This window comes from Homo sapiens, chromosome 19 (genome assembly GCF_000001405.40).
Source record: "Homo sapiens chromosome 19, GRCh38.p14 Primary Assembly".
In the NCBI taxonomy this organism is placed as follows: Eukaryota; Metazoa; Chordata; class Mammalia; order Primates; family Hominidae; genus Homo; species Homo sapiens.
In genome coordinates, this window is record NC_000019.10 from 37,629,285 (window position 1) to 37,657,066 (window position 27,782).

At 40.1% G+C, this 27,782-nt stretch overlaps 1 protein-coding gene across 7 annotated transcripts, besides 3 other annotated features; it reads right to left on the reverse strand.

Moving 5' to 3' along the window:
* Positions 1,722-26,977, reverse strand: ZFP30 (ZFP30 zinc finger protein). 7 transcript variants are annotated; one of them, NM_001320668.3, is made up of 6 exons: positions 26,836-26,977; positions 25,428-25,595; positions 18,530-18,615; positions 15,326-15,452; positions 13,981-14,079; positions 1,722-7,021 (listed from the first exon to the last, which is right to left on the reverse strand). In NM_001320668.3, the coding sequence occupies exons 3-6, from the start codon at positions 18,536-18,538 to the stop codon at positions 5,697-5,699; spliced, it is 1,560 nt and encodes a 519-aa protein (NP_001307597.1). In that variant the 5' UTR covers positions 18,539-18,615; positions 25,428-25,595; positions 26,836-26,977; the 3' UTR covers positions 1,722-5,696. The 7 variants fall into 7 exon arrangements, with proteins under 7 accessions (NP_001307597.1, NP_001307600.1, NP_001307599.1 ...); NM_001320671.3 differs by lacking the exon at positions 26,836-26,977 and adding an exon at positions 26,136-26,181 and having other exon boundaries at positions 13,981-14,076; positions 25,428-25,501; NM_001320670.3 differs by lacking the exon at positions 26,836-26,977 and adding an exon at positions 26,136-26,181 and having other exon boundaries at positions 13,981-14,076.
* Positions 26,137-26,326: a silencer, noted in NCBI's record as "silent region_10556". NCBI's record gives its function as "represses an Ori minimal core promoter by ATAC-STARR-seq in GM12878 lymphoblastoid cells {active_cell/tissue: GM12878}" and the evidence as "EXISTENCE:reporter gene assay evidence [ECO:0000049][PMID:35858748]".
* Positions 26,350-27,337: an enhancer, noted in NCBI's record as "H3K27ac-H3K4me1 hESC enhancer chr19:38146535-38147522 (GRCh37/hg19 assembly coordinates)". NCBI's record gives its function as "activates a minimal SCP1, AML or CMV promoter by ChIP-STARR-seq in naive H9 embryonic stem cells {active_cell/tissue: H9 hESC(naive)}" and the evidence as "EXISTENCE:reporter gene assay evidence [ECO:0000049][PMID:30033119]".
* Positions 26,737-26,786: an enhancer, noted in NCBI's record as "active region_14555". NCBI's record gives its function as "activates an Ori minimal core promoter by ATAC-STARR-seq in GM12878 lymphoblastoid cells {active_cell/tissue: GM12878}" and the evidence as "EXISTENCE:reporter gene assay evidence [ECO:0000049][PMID:35858748]".

A 27,782-nucleotide genomic window follows, 5' to 3' on the forward strand; every position in this document is an offset into this window, starting at 1 on the left:
TTTTTTTAGAGACGGAGTCTCTCTCTGTTGCCCAGGTTGGAGTGCAGTGGCGCGATCTCGGCTCACTGCAAGCTCCGCCTCCTGGGTTCACGCCATTCTCCTGCCTCAGCCACCTGAGTAGCGGGGACTACAGGCGCCCGCCACCATGCCCCGCTAATTTTGTTTTTGTATTTTTAGTAGAGACAGGGTTTCACCGTGTTAGCCCGGATGGTCTCGATCTCCTGACATCATGATCCGCCCGCCTCAGCCTCCCAAAGTGCTGGGATTACAGGCGCCCGCCACCACGCCCGGCTAATTTTTTGTATTTTCAGTATTTTTTTTTTTTTTTTTGAGACGGAGTCTCGCTCTGTCGCCCAGGCTGGAGTGCAGTGGCGCAATCTCAGCTCACCGCAAGCTCCACCTCCCGGGTTCACGCCATTCTCCTGCCTCAGCCTCCCCAGCAGCTGGGCCTACAGGCGCCCGCCACCACGCCCAGCTAATTTTTTTGTATTTTTAGTAGAGACGGGTTTTCATCGATCTCCTAACCTCGTGATCCGCCCGCCTCGGCCTCCCAAAGTGCTGGGATTACAGGCGTGAGCCACGGTGCCTGGCCGTATCCTGACTTCTAACTACATTAAAAAGTTCTCAATTTTTGTATTCCATATAATCATATAGTATGTCCTCTTTTGAAGGGGTGGGTTGCCCCTCCACACCTGTGGGTGTTTCTCGTAAGGTGGAACGAGAGACTTAGGAAAGAAAAAGACACAAAGTATAGAGAAAGAAATAAGGGGACCCGGGGAACCAGCGTTCAGCATATGGAGGATCTCGCCAGCCTCTGAGTTCCCTTAGTATTTATTCATCATTCGTGGGTGTTTCTCCGAGAGGGGGATATGTCAGGGTCACAAGACAATTGTGGGGAGAGGGTCAGCAGACAAACACGTGAACAAAGGTCTTTGCATCATAGACAATGTAAAGGATTAAGTGCTGTGCTTTTAGATATGCATACACATAAACATCTCAATGCTTTACAAAGCAGTATTGCTGCCCGCAGGTCCTACCTCCAGCCCTAAGGCGGTTTTTCCCTATCTCAGTAGATGGAACGTACAATCGGGTTTTATACCAAGACATTCCATTGCCCAGGGACGGGCAGGAGACAGATGCCTTCCTCTTGTCTCAACTGCAAGAGGCATTCCTTCCTCTTTTACTAATCCTCCTCAGCACAGACCCTTTACGGGTGTCGGGCTGGGGGACGGTCAGGTCTTTCCCTTCCCACGAGGCCATATTTCAGACTATCACATGGGGAGAAACCTTGGACAATACCTGGCTTTCCTAGGCAGAGGTCCCTGCGGCCTTCCGCAGTGTTTGTGTCCCTGGGTACTTGAGATTAGGGAGTGGTGATGACTCTCAAGGAGCATGCTGCCTTCAAGCAGCTGTTTAACAAAGCACATCTTGCACCGCCCTTAATCCATTTAACTCTGAGTTGACACAGCACATGTTTCAGAGAGCACGGGGTTGGGGGTAAGGTTATAGATTAACAGAATCTCAAGGCAGAAGAATTTTTCTTAGTACAGAACAAAATGGAGTCTCCTATGTCTACTTCTTTCTACACAGACACAGTAACAATCTGATCTCTCTTGCTTTTCCCCACACTCTTTTATGTCTGGCTTCTTTTGCCCAGCATTATGCTTTTGAGATTTATCTGTATTGTACACAGTCATAGGTTGTTCATTTTCATTGCAGTATAGTGTTGATTCAGAAATTTTATTTCTGCAGAAAAGCAACAGTTCAATATTCAGAAAGAACAGGTGACTTTAGAACATGATGCCACATCCAGGGAAACATACCTCACATCCACCTTCCAACACAACTAACCACCTGACATGAGGTCCGAACTTTCCACCTTTGCTGTCACCTGTTTTGGTTACAGCACTTATCTGTTAAAATGGGTTCATATCCCATACTCACAAGCATTAAGAGTGAAAGTTACAGGGTAAAAGGTGCTTCAGATACATTAAGTTAAATAAAATCAATTAAACTCTCATTACTTCATTATTTGGAGAAGCTATAGTTTTATTTTCTTAATTATTAATTTTAATATGCTCATTTAACCACAGAATGCTTTCTAAAAATACCATCAAGCACTAGTGTTTCCTGGGAAATGGTTTCAAATGCTATCAAGTTTCATATTCCATTTGAGAAATGGAATATAATGATGTAATACACTGAACATCATGGCTTCCCAATTATAACAGCAAATACAGTTCATAATGGATGACCACGGTGAAATCACCGAAGTCCAACTGATGCAATCATTTATAAGAACTCTGTCTTTATTAATTTTGAGAAGGTAATTTTAAGGTGTTGGGTTACACTTTTACATACATAAAATTCATTCCATTCTTAATACATAGAAAGCTAAAAAAAAAAAAAAAAAAAAGACAATAAGCATGAATTGAGATGATACTGGGCCAGAATCGTATCTCTTTTACTATCATTATGATGTTCTGAAGGTAGAATGCCTAGAATCTAAATATATAATTAAAGCTGGATGGATCTGGTCCAAGTTATTCCACATAAATGATTTTCTATTCTAAACTGTTGGATATAATTTCCCATAGAAATTAGAATTACCAGATTTCTCTTCATACGGAAAATGTCTAGATTTTCGTTTTGCCAGCCCTCCTCACCTAGTTCTTATAATCAGTTTTAGGTTAGTCTTGTAGAATAGTATGTTGGAAAAATTTAGCAATTACCAATTCTTCAAAGATTTTACTTGTAAAAAATTAGGTTCTCGGAGTCTCTCTGAGACCACTCTGGCTCAGGAGAGTAGGATTTTTTTTTTTTAAAGTTAGATTCTAAATGTATTCTTTTAGAAAGCGTATCTTCTAACCGTCTTAATTTTTCATTTGTTTGTTGGTCTACTCAGGCTCTCTTCATTCAGCATGTGAAGTCAATTTTAGTAATTTTTACCATAAAATAATTCTGGATTTTCAATATTTTAAAATACATGTATAGTGTGTGTATAAATATAAATATATATACCTACACACTATACACACACACATTACATATATGTAGTATAGCAACTTATAACTTTAAAAATCCATAGCTGTCACTTTTATCATTCATATAGCTGTAGCTGTGTAATCTTTCATATTTCTGTGATCAAAACTGCAAAGGTCTTGACTATATTGGTATCTTTTAAAGAAACACACACAAAAAAACCAAGTCTACTTTTTATTGTTTATGCCAGCGCTGACAATAGAAATACGTGAGCTACATATATAAATTTTCCTATAACAATTTTAAAAACAAAAAAGTGTTATTCATTTTAATGTATTTTATTTGAACCAATATATCTAAAATATTATTTCAATATGTACTCAATATGAAAAATTGAGATACTTAACTTTTTTAAAATAACTAAGTCTTCAGAATCTTGTGTTTTACAAAAAAACACCATTTGAATTTGGACTAGCCACATTTCAGTGCTCAATAACTCAATTTCAAGTGCTCAACAGGTTGCTAGTGACTACCATATATTAGTACAGGTCTAGTCCATTATTTCCCACATTTAGCAGTAGTAATTGCTTTCTTTTACTCATTCTTTAAACATATGAAGTGAGAGTCGGGCATGGTGGCTCACGCCTGTAATCCCAGCACCTTGGGAGGCCAAGGCAGGTGGATCACCTGAGGTCAGGAGTTGAGACCAGCTTGGCCAACATGGTGAAACCCCATCTCTACTAAAAATACAAAAATCAACCTGGTGTGGTGGCGGGCGCCTGTAATCCCAGCCACTCGGAAGTCTGAGGGAGGAGAATGGCTTGAACCCGGGAGGCAGAGCTTGCAGTGAGCCGAGACTGTGCCACTGCACGCCAGCCTGGGCGAAAGAGCGAGACTCCGTCTCAAAAAAAAAAAAAAAAAAGGTGCATACCATGGGTACTATAATATAGAGATAGAGAGGTCAACTAAATAAAATGTGGACCTACATTTTAACTTCCTGAATACATTATCGTCATTATAGTGTAATTAATATTCCAATCCCAATGTGTAGAGCTTTGGCAACATCCACAAGTTTTAATATGTAGAAATTTTCTTTTTTTCTTTGAGATAGAGTTTTGCTCTTGTTGCCCAGGCTGGAGTGCAATGGCGTGATCTCGGCTCACTGCAACCTCTGCCTCCTGGGTTCAAGTGATTCTCCTGTCTCAGCTGCCCGAGTAGCTGGGATTACAGGCGCATGTGACCACGCCTGGCTAATTTTTGTATTTTTAGTGGAGATGAGGTTTCACCATGATGGTCAGGCTGGTCTCGAACTCCTGACCTCATGATCTGCCCACCGGCCTCCCAAAGTGCTGGGATTACAGGCATGAGCCACCGGGCCCAGCCAGAAATTTTTTTTAAAATAATTCATTTTAAACTGGCTATAATTTCATGGATAATTTGATCTTTAAAAGAACATCATGGAAAATTTTAAATACACAAAAGTAGAATAGCAAAAACAAAACAAATAAAAACCATGTATCCAAGACTTAGGTTACCATCATTTTGCCAAACTTGTTATTCATCCTCATTTTTCTTTTGTATGAACAAAAGGACATTCCAGATATATCATCTCCTGTGTATAGACTTCAGAAATTATCTCTAACAAATACACTTTTACATAACCACAATGCTATTATCACACATAACAAAGTTTCTTAATATTATCTAATATTGTCAATATTCCATTCTCCCAATTATTGTTAAGTATCTCTTCTTTTACATGTTTGTTCAACTCATGATCTAAGTAAAAACCACTGTTTCATTGCATTTGACTGATGTCTCAAGTCTGTCAATACCTAGGAGTTCCACCTTATTTCTTAAAATGCCATTTTATTGGTTGGGAAACCAGGTGATTCCTCTTGTAGAATTACCCTTATTTTAGATTTAATTGCTCCTTTTTGTGTCATGTAATTTACTCTTCCATTCCTTGAATTTTCTCTAAACTGGGAGTTGGCTCTTGAGGCTTAAATTCAGGTTCAATATTTTTGGCAAGATGTGTATATCTTACTGTAGCACATTAGGAGGCACGTAATTTTTACTCTCTTGCTTTTTGTGAAGTTGAGATGATGAGTGGGTTCAGACGTTGTCAGTCTCATCTATTCACTATAAAGTTCACAACCTTCACTGAATGGTGTCAACCTGTACAGAGAATCATGCCTAGATCCATTATTTCATTATGTGTTACACAATAGTTTTTCTAATATAATTTTCTATTATTCTTTCTGCATTCATTAGCCTGGAATTTTCTAATAAAGAAGAACTTTACCTCCTTAACTTCTGGTTGCCCTGAAATACAGTTCCTACAGGAAATGCAGACTAAATGACTTTCCTTTCATTTACACATTTTCAGAATGAAGTGGTTCCCTAGCAACCTTCGTGTGTATATACACAGATGGAAGAATATGGAGATAATAATAGGTAAGATCAAAAGCTTTTCCACATTCAGTCCTGTAATAAAGTTCTTTTCTAGGATGAATTTCCTAAAGTTTAACATGGTTTCAAAGGTGATGAAAGGCTTCTATATGTTCATTAACATATTCTTTCCTTTAAATAAAACTTCCTATGCTTAGTTGTGAGCATGAAGCAAAAGGGATTCCCACGTTCAAAAACCTTTCCTCTAGAATGTACTTCCTATGCTCAACATAAAATTCGCAAAGGAAGAGTTCTAATAATTATTAAGTTACATTATGAATTCGCTGATGGTAAGTAAGATGTGAATGTTGTCTAAATGCCTTTTTACATTCCTTACATTTGTATGGTTTCTCACCAGAATGAATTCTCTGATGTTGAATCAGTGATGAATGAAGTCTAAAGGCCTTTCCACATTCCTTACAGTCATAGGGCTTTTCACCAGTATGAATACTTTGATGTTGGGTAAGTTGTGAAAGCAGTCTAAAAGTCTTCTCACATTCCTTACACTTAAAGGGTTTCTCACCAAAATGAATACTCTGATGTTGAGTAAGCTGTGAGAACAGCCTAAATGCCTTCCCACATTCCTTACATTCATAAGGTTTCTCTCCAATGTGAATACCCTGATGTGAAATAAGTTCTGAGTAACGACGAAAGAACTTCTGACATTCCTTACATTCATAGGGCTTTTCACCAGTATGTATTCTCTGATGGAGAGTTAGATGATAGCCACGACTGAAAGTCTTCCCACATTCCTTACAATCATAAGGCTTCTCACCAGTGTGAATTCTCTGATGGAGAGTAAGTTGCTGCCGCACTCTAAAGGCCTTTCCACACTCCTTACATTCATAGGGTTTTTCTCCAGTATGAAGTTTGTGATGTAGTCGAAGGCCTGTACTACACAGAAAGGCCTGACCACATTCCTTACACTCATAGCACTTCTCAGCAATGTTCAGTCTCTGATGTCGAGTAAGGTGTGCATACTGCCTAAAGGCCTTCCCACATTCTTTACATTCATAGGGTTTCTCACCCGTGTGAATCCTTTGATGGAGATTAAGTTGTCCTCTAACTCTAAAGGCTTTCCCACATTCTTTACATTCATACGGCTTCTCACCAATATGAATTCTCTGATGTACTCGAAGGTCTGAGCCACATGTGAAGATCTTTCCACATTTTTTACATTCATAGAGTTTGTCAGAAGTATGAATTCTCTGATGTCGACTGAGGTGGGCACACTGTCTAAAGGCTTTTCCACATTCTTTACATTCATAGGGTTTCTCACCAGTATGAATTCTTTGATGGAAAGTAAGTTGTTGTCGTACTCTAAAAGCCTTCCCACATTCCCCACATTCGTAGGGTTTCTCTCTGTTATGACTTTTCTGATACAGAGGAAGAGATGTGAGTTTTCTGTAAGTAGGCATTTTTTCAGAGGTGGTTTTTGTCACTTGCCTGAAACACACCTCATGAGGACTTTCTTGTTCTTCAAGTCCACAGCTTTTAATTCTTTCCATTACCTTCCACTGAGATAAGTTCATTTCATAAATATCCTTTCCTTGAAATAACTTTTTAGTGTCATATCTGGATTCCAAATCTGAAAGAAAACAAGACCAAAACATATTTTCCTGTTCTACACAAAATAAACAAACGAAAACTTTATAATAGAAATCGGTGACCAAAAAAAAAAAAAAAGAAAAAGAAAGCCCAATTGAAGTAAATGGGCTCAAAATCTCTAAAATAGGTAATTTAAAAGAAGCTAAAAGGAAATAAGAAAATGATGAGTTAAGACCAGGTTATTTGGGTGCAGATCAAAGTTTGAGACTCCCCACTTAAATTTTTCAATTTCTCTTTTCAGTTAGAATACAGAGCAAATACTTTATCAGGAGTAACATGGACTCTGTCGAACACAAGGTATCAACTCAAGCCACTGTCCCCTTTGCTGTCCATGTCCCTATGACACTTGCCTGCCTCCTTTCTGCTCCTAGAATGTGTCACAATCTTTCTTTTCTTTTTTTTTTTTCGAGACGGAGTCTCTGTCGCCCAGGTTGTAGTGCAGTGGCTCGATCTCAGCTCACTGTAACCTCTGCCTCCCAGGTTCAAGCAATTCTCCTGCCTCAGCCTCCCTAGTAGCTGGAATTACAGGAGTGCGCCACCATACTTGGCTAACTTTTGTATTTTTAGTAGAGACAGGGTTTCACCATGTTGGCCAGGCTGGTCTCGAACTCCTGACCTCAAGTGATCCGCCTGCCTCGGCCTCCCAAAGTGCTGGGATTACAGGCGTGAGCCACCACATCCGACCCAATCTTTCCACTTTTTGGAGCTTTTCACTGGCTATTAAATCTCCCAGGAATCCTGACTTGGGTTTGCATGGTTGGGTTTCTTTCATCCATCAGGTTTCATTTTAAAAATCAGAAAAATGATCCCTGCTGACTTCATGTAATATATATCCTTTGTTTTCTATCCCAGTCACTTCTTTCTTTTTTCTTTTTTTCTTTTTTTTTTTTTTTTTAAAGACAGAGTTTCGCTCTTGTTGCCCAAGCTGGAGTGGAATGGCGCAATCTCGGCTTACTGCAACCTCTGCCTTCTGGGTTCAAGTGATTCTCCTGCCTGAGCCTCCCAAGTAGGTAGGATTACAGGCATGTGCCACCGCTGTATTTTTAGTAGAGATGGGGTTTCACCATCTTGGCCAAGCTGGTCTTGAACTCCTGACCTCGTGATCCACCTGCCTCGGCCTCCCAAAGTGTCAGAATTACAGGCGTCAGCCACCGCGCCCAGCCTACTTCTTTCCTTTTTTTTTGAGACAGAGTCTCACTGTGTTGCCCAAGCTGAAGTGCAGTGGCATGATCTCGGTTCACTGCAATCTCTACCCCAGGGTTCAAGCAATTCTCGTGTCTCAGCCTCCCAAGTAACTGGGATTACAAGTGCCCGCCACCACACCTGGCTAATTTTTGTATTTTTAGTAGAGACAGTTTCACAATGTTGGCCAGGCTGATCTCGAACTCCTGTCCTCAAGTGATCTGCCCGCCTCAGCCTCCCAAAGTGCTGGGATTACAGGTGTGAGCCACCATGCCTGGCTACTTATTTCTTGCTGAACACTTTTCTCAACTGGGTTGTTATTCATTAATTTCTCCACTTATTATTCTCTTTATTTTCTTACCTTAAACTTCCCCAAGGGCAGAAACAATTTTTCACTCACCAGTGAATAGCAAATCCACAGTACATATTAACTGTGAATTAAATTCTCATAATTAGTCAACAATTATGGCATATGGTATCCTGCCTCCAATCTTAAACCTTACTACACTGATTAAACATTCTTTTTATCACTTCCTACAGAGATGGGAAACAAGTACATCTAAGCTATCTCAGTAAAATATATAAATGGAAAATAGTGATTTCTTTACACTTCATCATCCTTCCAATTGCCTCTTCATGTACACTTGCAGATACCTCCACTGCAGTTCAATTCCTACTTTGCATAATCATAAGTGAACTTTGCCCCCTTTCACGACCAAGGTAATAAGAGTCTCTAAATATTTATCTTTACTTGAGTTTACGTAACTTGCACATCTATGTTACAGGTTCCCCGTATCTTCCTGAAAGTCCCCATAATGCCATTTGTGTACTTCCTAGAGAATATTTCAGTGATTTTCCAGGTGTAACAACAGGTTTATACTATGGTAAAAGGCTAGTAAAATTCTGAGCAAAGAGATGTTTTTTGCAAATGCACCTGTTCTCAAAATCTTTGCAATAGGAATTCAATACTCTTCAAAAAGGAAAAGGTATTTTAAATAATGTTGCTTTAGGGTTAGGGTTAGAGTTAGGGTTAAAGCAACGTTATTTGTAATATACCCAAACTGGAAAGAGTCCAAGTGTTCATCAATGGAAGAACAGCTAATAAATGATGGCATATTAATACATCGCAATACTATACAACAACAAGAATTAACAAACTACAACTACATGCAGCAAGGGCTAATCTCAAAAACATAATGGTGAATAAACAAAACTAGACATACAACAATCTATACTGTACAATTCCATTTTTATAAAGTTAAAAAATGATAATTAATAATCTATGGTGGTGTCAGGACAGTGGTTAGTCTTGGTGGGGAGGAATGACCGAAAGAAGTCAAGAGGGGCTTCTGGTATCCTAGTAAAGCTCTATTTCTGAATCTGTGTACTAATTAGATGGGTGTGGTCACTGTGACAATTCACTAATTATCTGTATATTTTTGTATATATTTATATTTCAATAAGTTTACTTTTAAAAAGTATACGCTAAAAAGATAGTAAAAGACAACAATAATTTAAATGCTGTGGATAAAATGTGACCAGGGACAGGTAAATGAATGGAACAGAAAATACTGCTATATAATCGTGTTTCTCTCTCTCTGTCTCTTTCTCTGTCTCCCCATCCAAAAAAAGCAATACAAAATATGGCAGTTGTCTAGAATTTTGGGGATAAAGTCCATTTATGGCCTCAATAAGACAAATAAGATATAAGTGATATTAATAAAAGCATCATAATTAGCTAAATAATGGTAGTAAATAAGTAAGTAGTTATGAAGGTAATACAAAGGTTAAGAAATAAGATGCTCATTTCAAAGGATTTACCTGCAAATTAAAAATAAAACCAGTAATCTAAAAGGAAAGCCAGTCAAAAATCGAATTAAAGGCTAAAACATTCATAAGAAAGTGAGAACGTGTTACTGTTTATAGCATTAAAGTCCACACAAACTGGGCACCATGGCTCGCACCTGTAATCCCCAACTACTTGGGGAGGCTGTGGTGGGAGGATCACTTGGGGTGGAAGGATTATTTGAGGCCAGGAAGTCAAGACCAGCCTGGCCAATGTAATGAGACCCCAATCTCGAAAAACTAAAATTAAAAGAAAGAAATTTAAGCCCATACAAATTGGCATAAGAAATAATAAACAATGGAAAAGGTAATGGAATAAAGGAAGTGAGAAGACAATGGAAAAGTAAATATAAGCATAAACAAATTAGGACAAAATGTCTGTATTCACTAATAATCAAATTAGAATAGGTTGTAAAATTTATCCTGTAAAATTTGAAGGTTTTCATAAAAAAAAAAAAATTGCCAGTGTTGATAAGGTGAACTTGAGATTGTCATATATGGCTCCCTACTTAAGTGACAAGCCAGATCAAGATCTTGGTATTTTGAACATTCTCAGTTAGAAGGCTGTTCTATAATATACACAGCTGAGCTGTACGCTACCAAATAGCCATGTTTGTTCCCAAGTTTGCCTATTACAGTTCTTACTGCTGCAAGCAACTAAAATTATTAATGTTTAAAGACAATTATTTCTATGAAAACTAAGTTGGATGTTTCGTAGTATTGGCTATACATAAACATTTCATTTTTGTCAACGTAGGCATGGGTGAGAAAATAGTAAAAGACAGAAAACATAAAAATTCAAGAATTCTGCCCTCAGATTGCTTCACAAGTATCTTTACATTCCTGTTCTACTTCAAAGAAGTTGAAATGGGAAAGAATAGCCTATGTTTCATAAGTACTTTAATCAAGACAGAATGGGCTAGACCTACACTGAAACAAAATGCTGGGCCAAACATCAAAAGATTGGACTATGATAGACAATTTTAATGTTCTACCTCCAAAAACATGTATGTAAAATATGTATATATTTTAATTTTAATATTAACATTATTTAATTATATAATACTATATAATTTAATATTAACTAATAAAATTAATAAGCCAAATACTAGTTTGGATTCTACTGAATCAAAGAGTTTAGTCTAGTAAGCACTGCTAATGTGAAAACAAAATATTAGTCCATCTTAGATCAAAATGAAAGAAGTGTTATTTCCATTTACAGGGCATCAGCTTTAATTAAAAATAAAATAGGGGCAGGGTGTGGTGGCTCACACCTGTAATACAAGCACTCTGGCAGGCCGAGGCAGACAGATTGCATGAACCCAGGAGTCTGAAACCAGTCTGGGCAACATGGAGAAACCTCGTCTCAAAATAAAATAAAATAAAATAAAATAAAGTAAAATAAAATAATAAAATAAAATAAAATAGGGAGCAAATTATCTTGTCATCCCCGGAGGTATGCTATTTCCTGAGGTATAATGTCTCCCCCACCCCTTTTTTTTCTGGCTGATACAAGATTATACAGGATACAGAATATTTATGACCAAGACAATTCTAATTATATTAACATCAGAGATCTGAAAATGTTAAAACCCTATGACCACAAAATTGTACTTCTGAAAATTAACACTGATCTAATACTGCATAATCCATACTGAATTCCAATGAAATACTGAATAATCCTCAGGTTCAGACGATAATCTTACTGCCATTTCACCAAGGAACCAGAAACAACTGAAAGAAAAATATGTATTCTCTTCACCACATTCTCCAATCAATCTATGTCTGAATTCTTACCATATATGTGGTTTTACTTCATCAATTGGTTCCACTCCTTCCCATCTACTGAAGGTCGCTGCCTACAAAACTACCCTCTCTCTCTACTTCATCAATGTTCCTCTCTTTGAAATCATTCTCGTAGCCTATAAACATGTTCTAATATTTCACATCGTAAAATATATTCCTTGTACTCTTATGTATCTGCTTCCCTTCTATGGCAAAATTCATCCAAAGAATAGTTTAACCTTATTTTCATCATTGCCTCACCACCATTTTCTTTTTATCTCTCAGTAACTCTAAAACAAACAAATGAAAAACCTTTATAACAGAGCATTTCTAACATATCAAAAAGTAGACAGAACGGCATAATAATATCTCCATGTATCCAGCATTAACCCCATGCCCAATCTTGGCCTACGCACCTCCCAATCTACTTCCTTCGTATTATTTGAAGCAAATCTTGGATATTACATCGTTTCATGTGTACAAAGTTTGCATCTCAAAAAGCACTTTTACACATAACCACAATACCATTATCCAAACCCAAAAAATGAATTATTAAATATCATCAAAAGTCAATGTCCACACTTCCATCTGATAAAATTTTAAACAACCTAAAAAGAATAACTCATCCAAACAGAGTTCACAGAATACAACTGTTGACGTGTCTTTTACATCTCTTTTAATCTATAGGTTTTCCTATCATTTATTTATTTCCCTTGTAATTTATTTGTTGAAGAACCTGTTTTTGGTCCTGTAGTTTCCCATATTCTGAATTTGGCTCACTACATTCCCAAGGTGTAGAACATAGTCCTCTGTCTTCTTCCCGTAAGTTGGCAATTGGCTTTAGATGCTTGATAAGACTTAGGACCTTTTGTTGGCAAAGTTACCTCATAGGTGATATCGTGCTCTTTCATTAGGAGAAACAACACCCGATTGCCTCTATTTCTTTGATGCTATCAGCACTGATATTCAATATCTAAATCCAATAGTTCTTATGGGTTCCACAATGGTAATATTCTATCATTTCTTCTTCATTTATTCACTGAACACTTTTATTAAGAGAAACATACCTCCATCTACTACCTATTCATATAATTCTTATAAGAAAGGCAGGATAAATGCTTCTTTTCCTTTTAATTTATGCTTTTTAAATGTTAGTTTTCTAGTAACTTTCAATGATGAATAATTTGCTGTTAGTATCAAGAATTTATAAAATTAAGTGTATTTTATGCATTGCAATACACTGCAGTCATTATATGTAATGACGTTCAAATAGTCCCATCTTTGGCCAACTGGAGCCTGACCAACCCATCTAAAATTACTCTATTCATTCATTATAATTCTCCATATCCTTACCTTACTCACTTTTCTTCATAATACCTAATTACTTCAGGATATTTTAGTAATCCATTTACTGATTTTATTTACTTGTTTACTGTGTGACTCCCCACTACAATTTAAACTCCATGAACATGGGCAATGAAAAAATGTATACATAAAAGTCAAAATATAAAAGATGAGCTAGAAAGGGATTAGATTCAAAATACAGGTAAAATGGAATCACTAGGGCAGAAAGCTTTCCTCTACTGAAATAGGGGAAAGAAAAGGGAGGGAAACAAGATAGAAAAGAAACGACTGAGGCCAGGCGCGGTGGCTCACGCCTGTAATCCCAGCACTTTGGGAGGCCGAGGCGGGTGGATCACGAGGTCAGATCAAGACCATCCTGGCTAACATGGTGAAACCCCGTCTCTACTAAAAATTCAAAAAAATTAGCCAGGCATGGTGGCAGGTGCCTGTGGTCCCAGCTACTGGGGAGGCTGAGGCAGGAGAATGGCGTGAACCCGGGAGGCGGAGCTTGCAGTGAGCAGAGATCGCGCCACTGCACTCTAGCCTGGGCGACAGAGCGAGACTCCGTCTCAAAAAAAAAAAAAAAAAAAGAAAAAAAAAGAAACGAGTGATAAGTGGAAGTATGGATGAAATGTCTTTGATGGCTCATGCTGAGAAGATCTAAATTTTCTTCCCAAGTTTCAGGTCTCTTCTTCACAATTGACATCTAAGGGGTGTGTCTCCTCCTCAACCAGCAGGTCTGGCCATGCCATAATGGCTGACCTCTGCCTGATCAGCACTTACCTAGAGTCCATCTTCTTTTCTCATCCCTCACAACCATCCAGGGCTCTTTCCCTTGTTCCAATAGGGTGATCACATCTGGCTTAGAAATAGAACATCCTGCTTAAAAATAAATAATAGAATATAATAAAGAATTTATTTAAGGCTTCAAAACAAAGAAGACTATCAGGATTGAAAAACATTCATAGCATAGAGTTACTTCAGGATCACAAGGAAAAACAAGAACACAGAAGTAGGGACCTGGTTTTATTTTAATTTAAACTTACACAGGCTCTGTCTCTTGAGAGAAAAGAATAGTTGAAAGCACTGGTTTCAAATCCTGCCTCTCTTTCCCATGTCAGTAGAGCAACTAATTCAATCTCTCTGCACCTCATTTTTCTCAGACGTGAAAAAGGGATAACAGTAATGCGTATATATAGCATTGTTGTGAGATTCGATTTAATGTAAGTGTTTAGATGAGTACCTGGTACATGTTAACCATCATATATGTTCATGAGGTACTACATTTGCTATTTTTTGATTTTTTTTTTAAAGAAAAATAAGTTTCTTGCCAGGATATGCATACAATATTAAATGCAAATTCATGTATTTTAAACTTAATCACAAAGCAGTTAAAATATGTCTGTTGTAGGAAACTGAATACTGTCCACTTGAGTTTTAACAAACTGTCAATTCAACCCAGCATCACATACACTGTAAAAGCTCTTTTAATAGCTATGTAGAGCCAGACACCTCTGTCTTCCTATTCTCACTGTAAATGAGTTACAAATAACATGGACCATCCATAGCAGTATGAAATCAGATTGTTTTGACAATGGTTTTGCCATGAGTGTCTAAGAATTTATATCCAGCTGTCATTAAAGACCGGTAATAACAGAAAAGTCGAAGAAAAATATAACGGTCACTGAATTATACAGAAAGATGAAGGTGCTTAATAGTGGTACTTACTGTCAAAGCACAAAGCAGACATTTAGCTAGTTTTTAGAAAGACAGCCCAGACGCGGTGGCTCACACCTGTAATCCCAGCACTTTGGGAGGCTGAGGTGGGCAGATCATGAGGTCAAGAGATCAAGACCATCCCGGCCAACCTGGTGAAACCCCGTCTCTACTTAAAATACAAAAATTAGCTGGGTGTGGTGGTGTGCGCCTGTAGTCCCAGCTACTCGGGAGGCTGAGGCAGTAGAATCGCTTGAACCCAGGAGGTAGAGGTTGCAGTAAGCCAAGATTGCGCCACTGCACTTCAGCCTGGTGACTCAGCGAGACTTCGTCTTTGGAAAAAAACAAAGACAGCCCAGAAATTCAGTCCTGTGAATGTCTAAATTATCTGACACAGATATGCTAGGCTTACCCAGTGACACCAAGTTGCTATAGTTCTCTAATATCACATCTCTGTACAAATTCCTCTGATATGAGTTCAGGCATTCCCATTCTTCCTGAGAAAAGTCTACAGCCACATCTCTGAACATCACCAAATCCTGAAATGATAAACGCATGTATTATTTGTAAGATAAATGAAAATATTTTGAAGATGGAAGAAGGTGGCTGGGTGTAGTGGCTCAATGCTTATAATTCTAGCTTTGGGAGCCTGAAGCAGGAGGACTGCTTGAGGCCAGGAGTTTGAGACCAGCCTAGACAACATACCAAGAACTTGTCTCAAAAAAAAAGGCCGGCGCGGTGGCTCACACCTGTAATCCAGCACTTTGGGAGGCCGAGGCAGGCAGATCACGAGGTCAGGAGATCAAGACCATCCTGGCCAACATAGTGAAACCCCGTCTCTACTAAAAATATAAAAAATTAGCCAGGCATGGTGGCGGGCGCCTGTAGTCCCAGCTACTCGGGAGGTTGAGGCAGGAGAATGGTGTGAACCTGGAAGACGGAGCTTGCAGTGAGCCGAGATCGCGCTACTGCACTCCAGCCTGGGTGACAGAGCGACAGAGCGAGACTCCGTCTCAAAAAAAAAAAAGAAAAAAAAAGTGGAAGAAGGGTTTTGATGATACATGTTCACTTCATACATCAAATGAATAGACTAGGGCTGGAAGCCTGTGATGTGGGAAGGTGGCAATAAAGATGTGAGTGTGACTGAAGCAGAATATGTGTTCTTGAAGATTTCTATAAACAAAAGACCAGGGTTTGGCAACATTTTCTGTAAAGGGCCAATATTTTAGGCTTTGTATACCACATATGGTCTCTGTTCCACATTCTTCTTTTTTTTTGTAACAATTATTTCAAAATGTAATTAGCTTGCAGGCTGTTCCAAACAAGCTACAGCTTGTGGGCCAGATTTATAGTGTATCTAGTTTGCCCACCACTGCTATGGCCAAAACTTCCTACGTACTATGGAATAGGAGATAATTTTATTTATTTCCAGACATATTCGGGTAATTATCAGAATTTTTCAATTAACTGAAATAGGTTCATAGGAACAGTACTTGCAAAGGACCTAAAAAATTCTCAATAAATGGGATTTACTCTATCTTCTTTTCCTTTAAAGATTTTTAAAAAATAATAATAATTGATGGTATTCTCCCCAAAAAATGAACTGTAAAATGCCTATTTTTAAAAAGTATAGTTTGCATAAAACTTAAAAATGTCTTCTAGATGTAACTTTATCATAATGTATCATTAGCATTTTTATTATAACAGATTCTTTATTTAATATTTACAGTTTACTGCATGATACAGTAGTTCTCCCTTACTCATGGTTTTGCTTTCCTCAATTTCAGTTACCCACAGTCAACCATGGTCCAAAAATATAAAATGGAAAAATTCCAGAAATAAACAATTCATAAGTTTTCAACTCCATGCCATTCTGAGTAGCATGACGAAATCTCACACTAACCACTCCGCCCCACCTGGGATGTGATATGCTTTGTCCAGCATATCAACATTGTATATACTACCTGATTATCAGATCAAAACAACATCATAAATATAGGGTTCCATACTATCTGAGGTTTTGAGGCATCCACTGGGGGTCTTGGAATGTATCCCCCTTGGGTAACGAGGGACTGCTGTACTCCATCTGATGGATATGTTACACTTAATAGTGATTATATTTAGATATAGCTATACTTTTAAATATATTATATTTAGAATTTACATTACAAAAAATATCTAAAGCTGCTTCAATGCCCAATATTCTAGTTTAGCAATATGTGGATACTGAGCACTTGAACTGGGACTAGTCCAAATTCACATGTGCTGTAAATGTAAAATATATACCAGATACCAGATAGTGAAGACTTTAGAAGCAAAAAAACAAGGTAAAACATATTGATGATTTATATATATATTCTTTATTTTATCTTGGTTTTGAGGCAGGGTCTCACTCTGTCACCTAGGTTGGAATGGCGTGGCACAATCACAGCCCATTTATTGATTACAGCTCACTGCAGCCTCGAACTCCTGGGTTCAAGCAATTCTCCCACCTCAGTTTCCCAAATTGCTGAGACCACAGGCATATGCCACCACATCTGGCCAGTTTTGTTTTGTTTTGTTTTGCTTTGTTTTGTTTTTTTAAGAGATGGGATCTCATTAAGTTGCTCAAGGTTGTCTCGAACTCCTCTGCTCAAGTAGTCCTCCTGCCTCAGCCTTCCAATTCCAAAGTACTGAGATTACAGGCATGAGCCACCACTGTCAGGGCCTGACCATGACTTTTATATTGATTACACTGTGAAATAATATTTTGGCCATATTGGGTTAAATAAAAGACATTAAAATAAACTACATGTGTTTCTTTTTACTTTTTTTAATGTGACTACTAAAGTATTTAAAATATTTGACCTTGCATACTAGTCTACACTTTTAAAATTTGACTACTAGAAAATTTTAAATTATATTTGTAGCTTGAATTACAATTATTTTGGACAGTGCTATTTTAATCCTGAGAATTTCAGATAAAATGCCCACTTCTAGGAACTTCATTTCTGCCCCATCTCTGCTCTAGACAGATAAGGAGCACACAAGAGATGCTGAATGATTTGGTCAATGCACACATGGATACTGGTACAATTTGGCTGTGTCCCCACCCAAATCTCATCTTGAATTGTAGCTCCCATAATTCCCATGTGTTGTGGGAGGGAGCCGGTGGGAGATAATTCAATCATGGGGGCAGTTGCCCCTATACTGTTTTCATGGCAGTGAGTAAGTCTCACGGGATCTAATGATTTTATAAGGGGTTTCCTCTTTCTCTTGGCATTCATTCACTCTTTGCCTGCCACCATGTAAGACATGCCTTTCACCTTCCACCATGATTGTAAGGTCTCCCCAGCTATGTGGAACTGTGAGTCCATTAAACCTCTTTTTCCTTATAAATTACCCAGTCTCAGGAATGTCTTTATCAGCAGCGTGAAAATGGACTAATACAGATACAGATGGAGAAGACAGGGGCACTTAGGAATCTGGCTGGCTCCATCCCGTGCTGGAATGGGGAAGACTGGGGAGAAGCTGTTGAATGGGGCTCTGTTAGAAAGTTGCAGAATAACAAATGAGAATGTTCACATAACCTGAAAAAAATGACAGAATTCCAAAGTAGAGAGAAATTCCAACTTACACGAGCCATGATTTTAGAACTGCTAGAACTGGTCAATTTTCCTCAAGGTTCATGTACTTCAGAAGCAGGGTCCACAGACACCAGAGCTGCAGAAAGAACATGTAAAATCATGAGAAGAGAACTGCCTCAGAGTTTCCAAATTTTAAAAACTGGTACTACTTCTCCATTCCTATATGCAACTCCCACCCCCAACACACAGACAAGTTTTGATAGGTAAGAGGTAGTTTAGACAAAGATGTCCTCCCCAAAACCACAGCGAAATCAGCTCAGCTGCACAAGGAATTGAAGAGCAGAGACTCTGCGGCATCAAAGCATATGTCTAGACACTTCAGCAGGAGGGCTGCCAGTTGGTCCCCAGCTCTGACCCCAAGGCGGGCTGGTTTGGACCAAAGAATGGGTTGTGCAGACCTGTCCTGAACAGATCCTCCTCCCTCCATCCCCACCTTCCCAGCTGAAAAGGGGCTACACCATCTAAACCAAAACTTCCTTCTTGGCCTTAGGAATCTGGCTGGCCTCCCCAAACATGAAGACAAAAAATAGCATAGACAAGAATTTCCCAAACTTTGCTCAAATTGGAATCACCTGGATATCTTTAAAATATACTGTTGCCTGGCTCCCACCCTTAAACACACTGATTTAATTAGTGTGACGTGGGATTTAGGATTTTTTTTTTAACTACCTCCTCCTCCCATGGGTGCTTATAATGGGCAGCAAAGTTTGGTAGTCAAACTTTAGTATGCATCAGAATCACCCAGAGGGCTTCTTAAAACACAACTTGCTAGGTCTCACTCCCAGAGTTTGGCATTCAGTACGTCTGGGATTGGACTTGAGACTTTGCATTTCTAAAAAGTTTCCAGGTGATGCTGATGCTGCTGGTCCAGATGCCACACTTTGAGAACCACAGGTATAAAACACCTGTAGAAAGGCTATATAGCAGCCTTTATTATGGCAAAACTGCAGGTGCACATTGGGATCCCTTCCCCAAGGCTTAACTCAGAGCTCTCTGCTCCTTATTTTCCTATTCAGGATCATCAATATTGCCTGCATGATCTCAATTACCAAGCAATCTTTCTTGGTACTCAGACTTAGAGAAGTAAATTTATGAAGCCTGAGTGTGGATAATGTTCTAGAAGCTAGAAATAGGCTGGGTGCAGTGGCTCATGCCTGTAGTCCCAGCACTTTGGGAGGCCCAGATGGGAGGATTGCTTGATGCCAGGAATTGAAAACCAGCCTCAACAACATAGTAAGATACTGTCTCTAACAACAAAAAAATTTTTTTAAATTAGCTGGGTGTGTTGGCACCTGCCTGTATCCCTAGTTACTTGGGAGGCTGAGGCAGGAGAATTGCTTGAGCCCAGGAGTTCAGGGCTGCAGTGAGCTATGATCTTTCCACTGCACTCCAGCCTGGGTGACAAAGTAAGACCCTGTCTCTTAAAAAAAAAAAAAAAAAAGAACAAAATAGGAAAAAGAAATAACCTATCAGCTTATCAGTCAAAATCTACTCGTAACTAGAGAGCATATTGAAGGAACTGGATTGGCAGATTTCAAAAAGCTATGACACCTCATAGTTACTAAGCTGTTGGGGAAATGGATACTCAATGATATGATGTACAAAGAATGAAATAATATGTGGATAGAGTGTTTAAAATGGGACCAAAAAAGCTGGAAAGAACCTAAATGTCCTTCAGCAATGTCAAATAAATTATCATGCATTCACACAATGGAAAATTAAACAGCCGAGTGCAGTGGCTCACACCTGTAATCCCAGCACTTTGGGAGGCCAAGGCAGGTGACCGCTTAATAAGTCCAGGAGTTCAAGACCAGCCTGGCCAACATGGCAAAACTCCATCTCTACAAAAAATTAACGGGGCATGGTGGTGCACACCTGTGGTCCCAGCTCCCTGGGAGGTCAAGGTGGGAGGATCGCCTGAGCCCAGGAGGTCAAGGCTGCAGTGAGCCCCGTTCATGCCACTGAACTCCAGCCTGGGCAATAGAGTGATACCCCGTCTTAAAAAAAAAAGAAAGAAAAGAAAAAAAAAAGAAAAATAAACACCCATTAAAAATGAAGATAAAATTCATATTTGATGTCATGGGAAGATGGCCACTACATATTGTTGGGGGAAGAAGACAGGTTAGAAAATATGATTGTAATGTAATTGTATTTCGGCAGGTAAACTACATACACATGCATACATGTATATGCATGTGTATAAAATGATCTGTGAATTGGAATAAAATTTTATTGTTACCTTTACTTGATGGTATCCCAGTCCTAGGTGATCTTTATTTGTTCTTCCCTGGAATCTTTACATTTTTTTTTTTTTTAGGCAGGCTTTTGCTCTGTCGCTCAGGCTAAAGTGCAATCTCGGATCTCAGCTCACTGCAACCTCCACTTCCAGGGCTCAAGCGACCCTCCTACCTCAGCCTCCTGAGTAGCTGGGACTAAAGGCACATGACACCACCCTGGCTATTTTTTACCGCGATGCAGTCTATGTTGCCTAGCCTGCTCTCAAACTCCTGGACTCAAGTGATCCACCTGCCTCCACCTCCCAAAGTTCTGGGATTACAGGCTTGAGCCACTGCACCTGGCCTGAATTTTTTAATTAAAAATTTTTATCACTTATACCTGAACAAAAATTCAAAACAGCTATGCAAGGAATATCACAAAAAGCTCCAACAGTTCCATCCCTGCTACTCTGCCCCATCTTCCAAATCTAGAGGCAGTAATTTTTACCTCTATTAGCCATTCCTTTTGGTATTTAAAAAACATGCTAATATTTCCACTTCTGAATTTTCAGTTGTAATCATTACATATTCACTTACTACTATAAGAGGCATAGTTTTAGCTGTCTTTTACCTACTCAACTCCCACCCACATATGCATAGTTGCAGTCCCTTTGTCCTTTCAATATGATTTTCTTTTCCTTTTTTTTTTTTTTGAGACAGAGTTTCACTCTGTCACCCAGGCTGGAGTGCAGTGGCACAATCTCAACTCACTGCAACCTCCGCCTCCTGGGTTCAACCGATTCTCTGCCTGTCCCAGCCTCCCGAGTAGCTGGGATTACAGGCACACACCACCACGCCCAGCTAATTTTTGTGTTTTTTGTAGAGATGGGGTTTTGTCATGTTGGCCAGGCTGGTCTTGAACTCCTGGGCTCATGTGATCGATCCACCAGCCTCGGCCTCCCAAAGTGTTGGGATTATAGGTGTGAGCCACTGCACCCAGCCTCAATATGGTTTTATTCTATTTCAGAGTAAATCAGTTTTTAAATTCAGTTTACATTACTGTGACTAAACATTGTTACCAACTGAACTATGCAGTATACTCAGGTTATTTTGCCTTTTTTGCATATGACTTTTTTTTCTGAGATTAAAATGATCTTGTTTTTTGTAAGTTTAGTTTTCTAAGAAATTATCATTAATTCATTTCCCCGAATCATGTAATTGAAGGATGAAGCTCCTGGTATAAAATAGCACAGCTGGCCGGGCACAGTGGCTCACACCTGTAATCCCAGCATTTTGGGAGGCCAAGGCGGGTAGATCACGAGGTCAGGAGATCAAGGCCATCCTGGCTAAAACGGTGAAACCCCATCTCTACTAAAAATACAAAAAATTACCTGAGCATGGTGGCATGTGCCTGTGGTCCCAGCTACTTGGGAGGCTGAGGCAGGAGAATTGCTTGAACCCGGGAGGCGGAGGTTGCAGTGAGCCGAGATCACGCCACTGCACTCTAGCCTGGGCGACAGAGCAAGACTCCATCTCAAAAAAAAAAAAAAAATAGCACAGCTGTCTATTTTATATTCTAAGAATGAAAAATCAATCCTTCAGAAATACAGTCAAATACTTCAAATACCTGTATCCCACCTGGCAAAAGTCAATTCCTAAATATGCCTAACTCTGAAATTCACATGACTCTGAGGTGAAAAGTTGATCAAGTCATAGGAGCCAGAAATCCTCCTGAAGGAATTGCTTGGGCAGTTTGGAATATTCCTGTCCAATAAGTCATTTCTTAAAAAATTTACAAAACATCCATAAAATGGAATACTAAGGTAATCACTAAATGCTAAATTTTAGAAAACAGTTAAGGAAAGGAAAATATTCAAGATACACTGAAAGAAAAAAAAAGTTTACAAAACAATATATGATTAGATTTTTTAGACCATTAAAGGGAAACAGACTTGAACAGATGAAAAAAACTCTTAAAATTTCAATTCTGAGATTTTAAAATTAATTTTAAAATCAGATTTAAATCTCAACTTAACTGAAATTTCCATAATTTGAAGAACTGTAAATATTTGGAAGGTCTGTCAAACCAGAAGTGGATCACTGGGATGTCACTTTTCTCCATACATCCATGGAGTCATATAATCCACAAGAGCACTGAATTCCTCTTTTAAACTAAGAACTAGAGGTCTTAGTTTCTTTTAAATTTGCAATTAGTATTAGCCTGTTCTTCAGAGAGAAAACCACCAGCCGGGTACGGTGGCTCACACCTGTAATCCCAGCACTTTGGGAGGCTGAGGCAGGTGGATTGTCTGAGGTCAGGAGTTCGAGACCAGCTTGGTCAACATAGTGAAACCCTGTCCCTACTAAAAATACAAAAAATTAGCTGGGCGTGATGGCAGGTGCCCGTAATCCCAGCTACTTGGGAGACTGAGGCAGGAGAATCACTTGAACCCGGGAGGCGGAGGTTGCAGTGGGCCAAGATCGCGCCACTGCACTCCAGCCTGGGAAACAAGAGCGAAACTCCACCTCAAAAAAATAAATAAATAAATAAAACCACACACAAAACCACACAGACTTGTAGAAATATTTTGGGAAAATATGCTCTAAAACATTAATAATTATTATTTCTGGACATTGGGACCATTGATCATTTTAATTTTCTTTATAGGTTCCGTAGTTACTAATATTTCACAAGCTTGTATTAATTCTGTCATCAGAAATATTTTAAAAAGCTATTCCAAAAAATTTTAAATGACTGGGAAGATAGGCTACCTTACAGTCATTAAGAAAATTGTGGGCCAGGTGCGGTGGCTCACGCCTGTAATCCCAACACTTTGGGAGGCCGAGGCAGGTGGATCACTTGAGGTTAGGAGTTCAAGACCAGCCTGACCAACATGGTGAAACCCCGTCTCTACTAAATACAAAAAATTAGCCTGGCATGGTGGCGGGCACCTGTAATCCCAGCTACTTGGGAGGCTGAGGCAGGAGAATCGCTTGAACCCGGGAGGCAGCGGTTGCAGTGAACTGAGATTTCGGCATTGCACTCCAACCCGGGCAACAAAATCGAAAACTCCGTCTCAAAAAAAAAAAAAAAAAGAAAGAAAAAAGAAAATTGTGATTAAACAGGCCCTGCATAAATGGTGACAACAGGGAAATCAGTGTGACTGAAAAAATAATTTCTACCAGTTCCTGAGTATTGTATCTCATCAAGACCCTGAAATAGTTCTGTGAAGGATTACAATCCTGGTTCATGTCATTTCCAAAGTGATTAAGAGCCAGTAAGAACTGCAGACAAAAACAAATGCTCATTTCACAGCAGCTACTTAATAACTTGCATTTACCCCTCCTCAGCTCCAATAAATAACTAATCATTAAATACCTAGCAATTTAATATTTAAATATTACATTGTTGCAAAATAACTTAAAAACCTTTATTGTAGTATACAAGATTCATATGTAACAATTTCTTGATGATTCTTATTTACAACAATACTTCTCAATATTACATTATACTTTTTTCTTATGACTAAATATAAACAAAATTCTTATTATTGCATAACATTCCATCACATGGAGTGTGATTTAACCATTTCCATACTGCTAGATATTAATTTTATAAAAGAACATCCCGAAAGTCATTACCAGTTATTTCATTTCTAGACAGTGAGAATCAATGTTGTTGGAGCTTATACAACTCTGATAATACCATGAAATGATAGACTTCCTCGCTCCACTGAAAAAATTAACCATTTACAAATACATACAACAATTCTGTATATAATCTTAAAATATCTTTGTTGCCCTGAAAGCTCATAAACAGAGTCCAAGGACTTATGTTACCAATCCCTGTTCTGGTCCACTGCAGGGTCTGGCTCATTTTCCTGCTTGCAAGCATCCATCATAATTACCTTCACATTTGCATTGGTCTTGGAAATACACAAAGCTGATAGGAAATGACTGAGCATCATCATTTTAATACCAGTAGCTAGTATGAATTAAGGACTCACTATGTGCCAGGCACTCTCCTAAGAGCTTCACAAATATTAATTCATGTAATCTTCAAAACAACACCGTAAAGTATACACTATTACAATTCTGAGGAAATTGAAGCACAGATTGCTTAAACTCGTTCAGATTTAAGTGGCAGTCAGGATTCAATTCCACTTAATCTAGGCTCGAAATTCTTAACCACTACACTACACCTCCCTCAGTCGATCCAAGATATACCCAAAATAAACTCATGCTGCCAGACCTCAAACCACATCTGGCTGGTACCAAAAACTTCCACTCATGAATTTCCTGGAAAAAAAGAAATCTCCACTCCTACCCCAGAACCATTAAACATATCTAAACCCTAAAAAACAAATAAAAACAAAGTATGAACATTAATCTCCAGCACGGGTATTTCCATATCATCAAGATCCTTAGAAAAACAGCGCTCACAGAGTAATTGAATTTGCAGCCTACAGTTAACTAACCATGTGTCTAACTATAGAACAGCATGAAGTGGGCACTAACAACGGGAAATCTATTAATTAGGTCCCCTGCCGTTAACTAGGTAGGGAAATCCTAAGGCCCAAATCAATGAATAAATAGATCATTCCTAAGCAGGATTTTAAACGGAAGGAACTCGAATGCATTTCACAGAAACAAAGCAGCAGCACGAACTCACAGGGAACCGGCTTTTAGAAGAGCAGCAGCGATTCGTTTCTCCTTCTCAAGCGCCTTCTCTGGAAACTGGCAGGGCTGGGGAAGCAGGCAGAGTTCAGGACACCCCAGGCTTTTCTTGACTCGATTGGAACCCACCCTCCACGCTTCCCTGGCCCCAACTAACCGCCACCTGCATGCACAAATGGAAACGACAGGGCAGAGGGTCAGCAGTCACCCGCGTCTGGGTTCGCAGCTCCGGGTACGCTGTAGTTCCGCACCCGGTTGCCCACGCCCGGGACCACCCACTGTGTCTTTTCGGAACTGTCCAGCGTGTCCTCCTAGACCCCAGACACCCACCCCAAATCTAGGTCCCAGCGTTTTGCAGGGGACCTTCATCCTGGGGCGTTCACCTCTGACTTCCCTCTTGGGCCTTTTCGCTACGGCCGAGCCTAAGTGGCTGAAGCGCGGACGAGGATGCGCGGGGCCTCGGTCTCCAACTGCACCACAGGCCGCACCCACGAACCTGGTCCGGCACAGTTACTACCGCCCGGGCCTCCAGGCCTCAGGGCTGCAGAAGCTCAGTCCCGGGAAAAAAAGCACACCGGCCTGAGGCTCCACAGGAACCTTTTCTCCACCTTGGCCCGGCCTGCAAAACCTGGCCCACTCCGCGCTCTTTTCCCTCAGAAAAGCAGCGGCCACAGTGGCGCCCGGCTCCCAGCCCCAGCCTCACCCGACTCAGAGGATAGCCCAGCCCTGGGAGTCAGCGGCGCCAGAATACGGGAGAGCGCCTGTCTCCGTCGCGAATGCGCTAGCGCGCGGGGGGGCGGAGGCAAGTCCCGCAGCTGCTCCGGGCCGGGAGGGGCGCGTGGGGCCGGGTCTCGGCGGGGATAGTCGGGCCGGGGAGACGGAGCCAGAGGGGCCGCAGTGTCCCTCGCCTCAGGCCTCTACCTGTAATGGCCGCCCCGTGACTGACCAGTGCCATTAAAGATAATCCAGGCCTGCTCCCCTGTGGACACTGCGGTCCAAAATTTAAAAAAACAATATTCCGCCTTTTTATTTTTCATTTGGTTCTCGGCTCGGAGACAGGCGGAGGCTGCGAGCCCCGCCCCGCCCCCAGCGACGCCTCACCGGAACCTTTGGAAATCGGCTTCTGCCTCGAGTGCGCAAGCGCGCGGGGGGCGAACGCTGGGGCCCTTCAGGGAGCAAGGGAGAAGTGTGGGGCCGCACCTGCCGAGGGGTCGGGAGGTTTGGAGGAGGGTGGAGGTTGGCTACAGGATCCCGATGGGGATGGAGTGTTCAAATCTAGGCCTGTAGCCGTGACCCTGGCGTGAGTTGGATGGAGGAAACCCCAGTATCGCGAGCCTGGACCAAGGCGCGGCGCGTGCTGCCTGTGGTGTTTGCTGAGTGACGGCCGCCGCGCCCCCGCGTACCTGGACCGAGTGCCTGGCCGCTGGCGGAGTAGTGTTTCCGTGCACGGGGCTGCTGCGTGCGCGTGTGCCGTTCTCTAGCGGGGGATTAGGATGGTGCCGCAGAGAAGGCTGCGCGGTGGTGCCTGACTCTGACGCTGGCTGTAGCGGGTCTCTGGGGTCTTTGCGGTTTGTGTCTGCGTTTGTGACGTACCTGACATCGGATCTGTGACTGTGGCTCTGCCTCATCCAGCGTTATTTCCAGAATCCTTCTGATAGGGCAGCGCTTCTGGTTCTGGTTTTCCATGGAGACGGTTTGTGGGTCCCTATGAAACTGAGTGTTGGGATTTTGATTATCTGCATCTGGCCCTTGTGTGCCCTCAGGACTGTGGTGTTAGGCAAGTAAAATAATTGCAGGAAAAAAAATTGGAAAGGAATAAGGTTGCTATTACTTCCAAATGATGGAATTGTAGGACTGTGTCAGAAAATTGAATAGGACACCATGAAACGGGAGGGAGAGGCATTTTATTTTCTTCCATACCTGGTCTTGGAATATTCTAACAAATGAGATTTGTTTTTTCCCCTTTGTTCCTGGATGAACTCTTGGATAAATTCAATGTCTCCAAGCATTCTTGGATAGTAAGTTTCTTTGATCTTTAGTTGAAAGATCAGCCTCATTTTCGTAGCTAAAAATACCTTTAGTAATAAAAATGTTCATTGTAATACTTCATTTAAAATATTTAAAACTTTCTTCTTTCTCCTTGATCTCTTCCAGATATCTCAAGTTTTGGTTAAGTGAATATGTGGAGTATATGTACTAATTACGTCAATTATTTTCTCTTTAAAACCAAGTACATTTCTTACATGAGTTTGTTTATCAAGGATTTATTGGTTTTCTTTGTACTTGTTGCTATTTTTTAGAAATGTTCCAACAGATATGTTAAATGTTCATCGATTATTTTTTCAGTGGT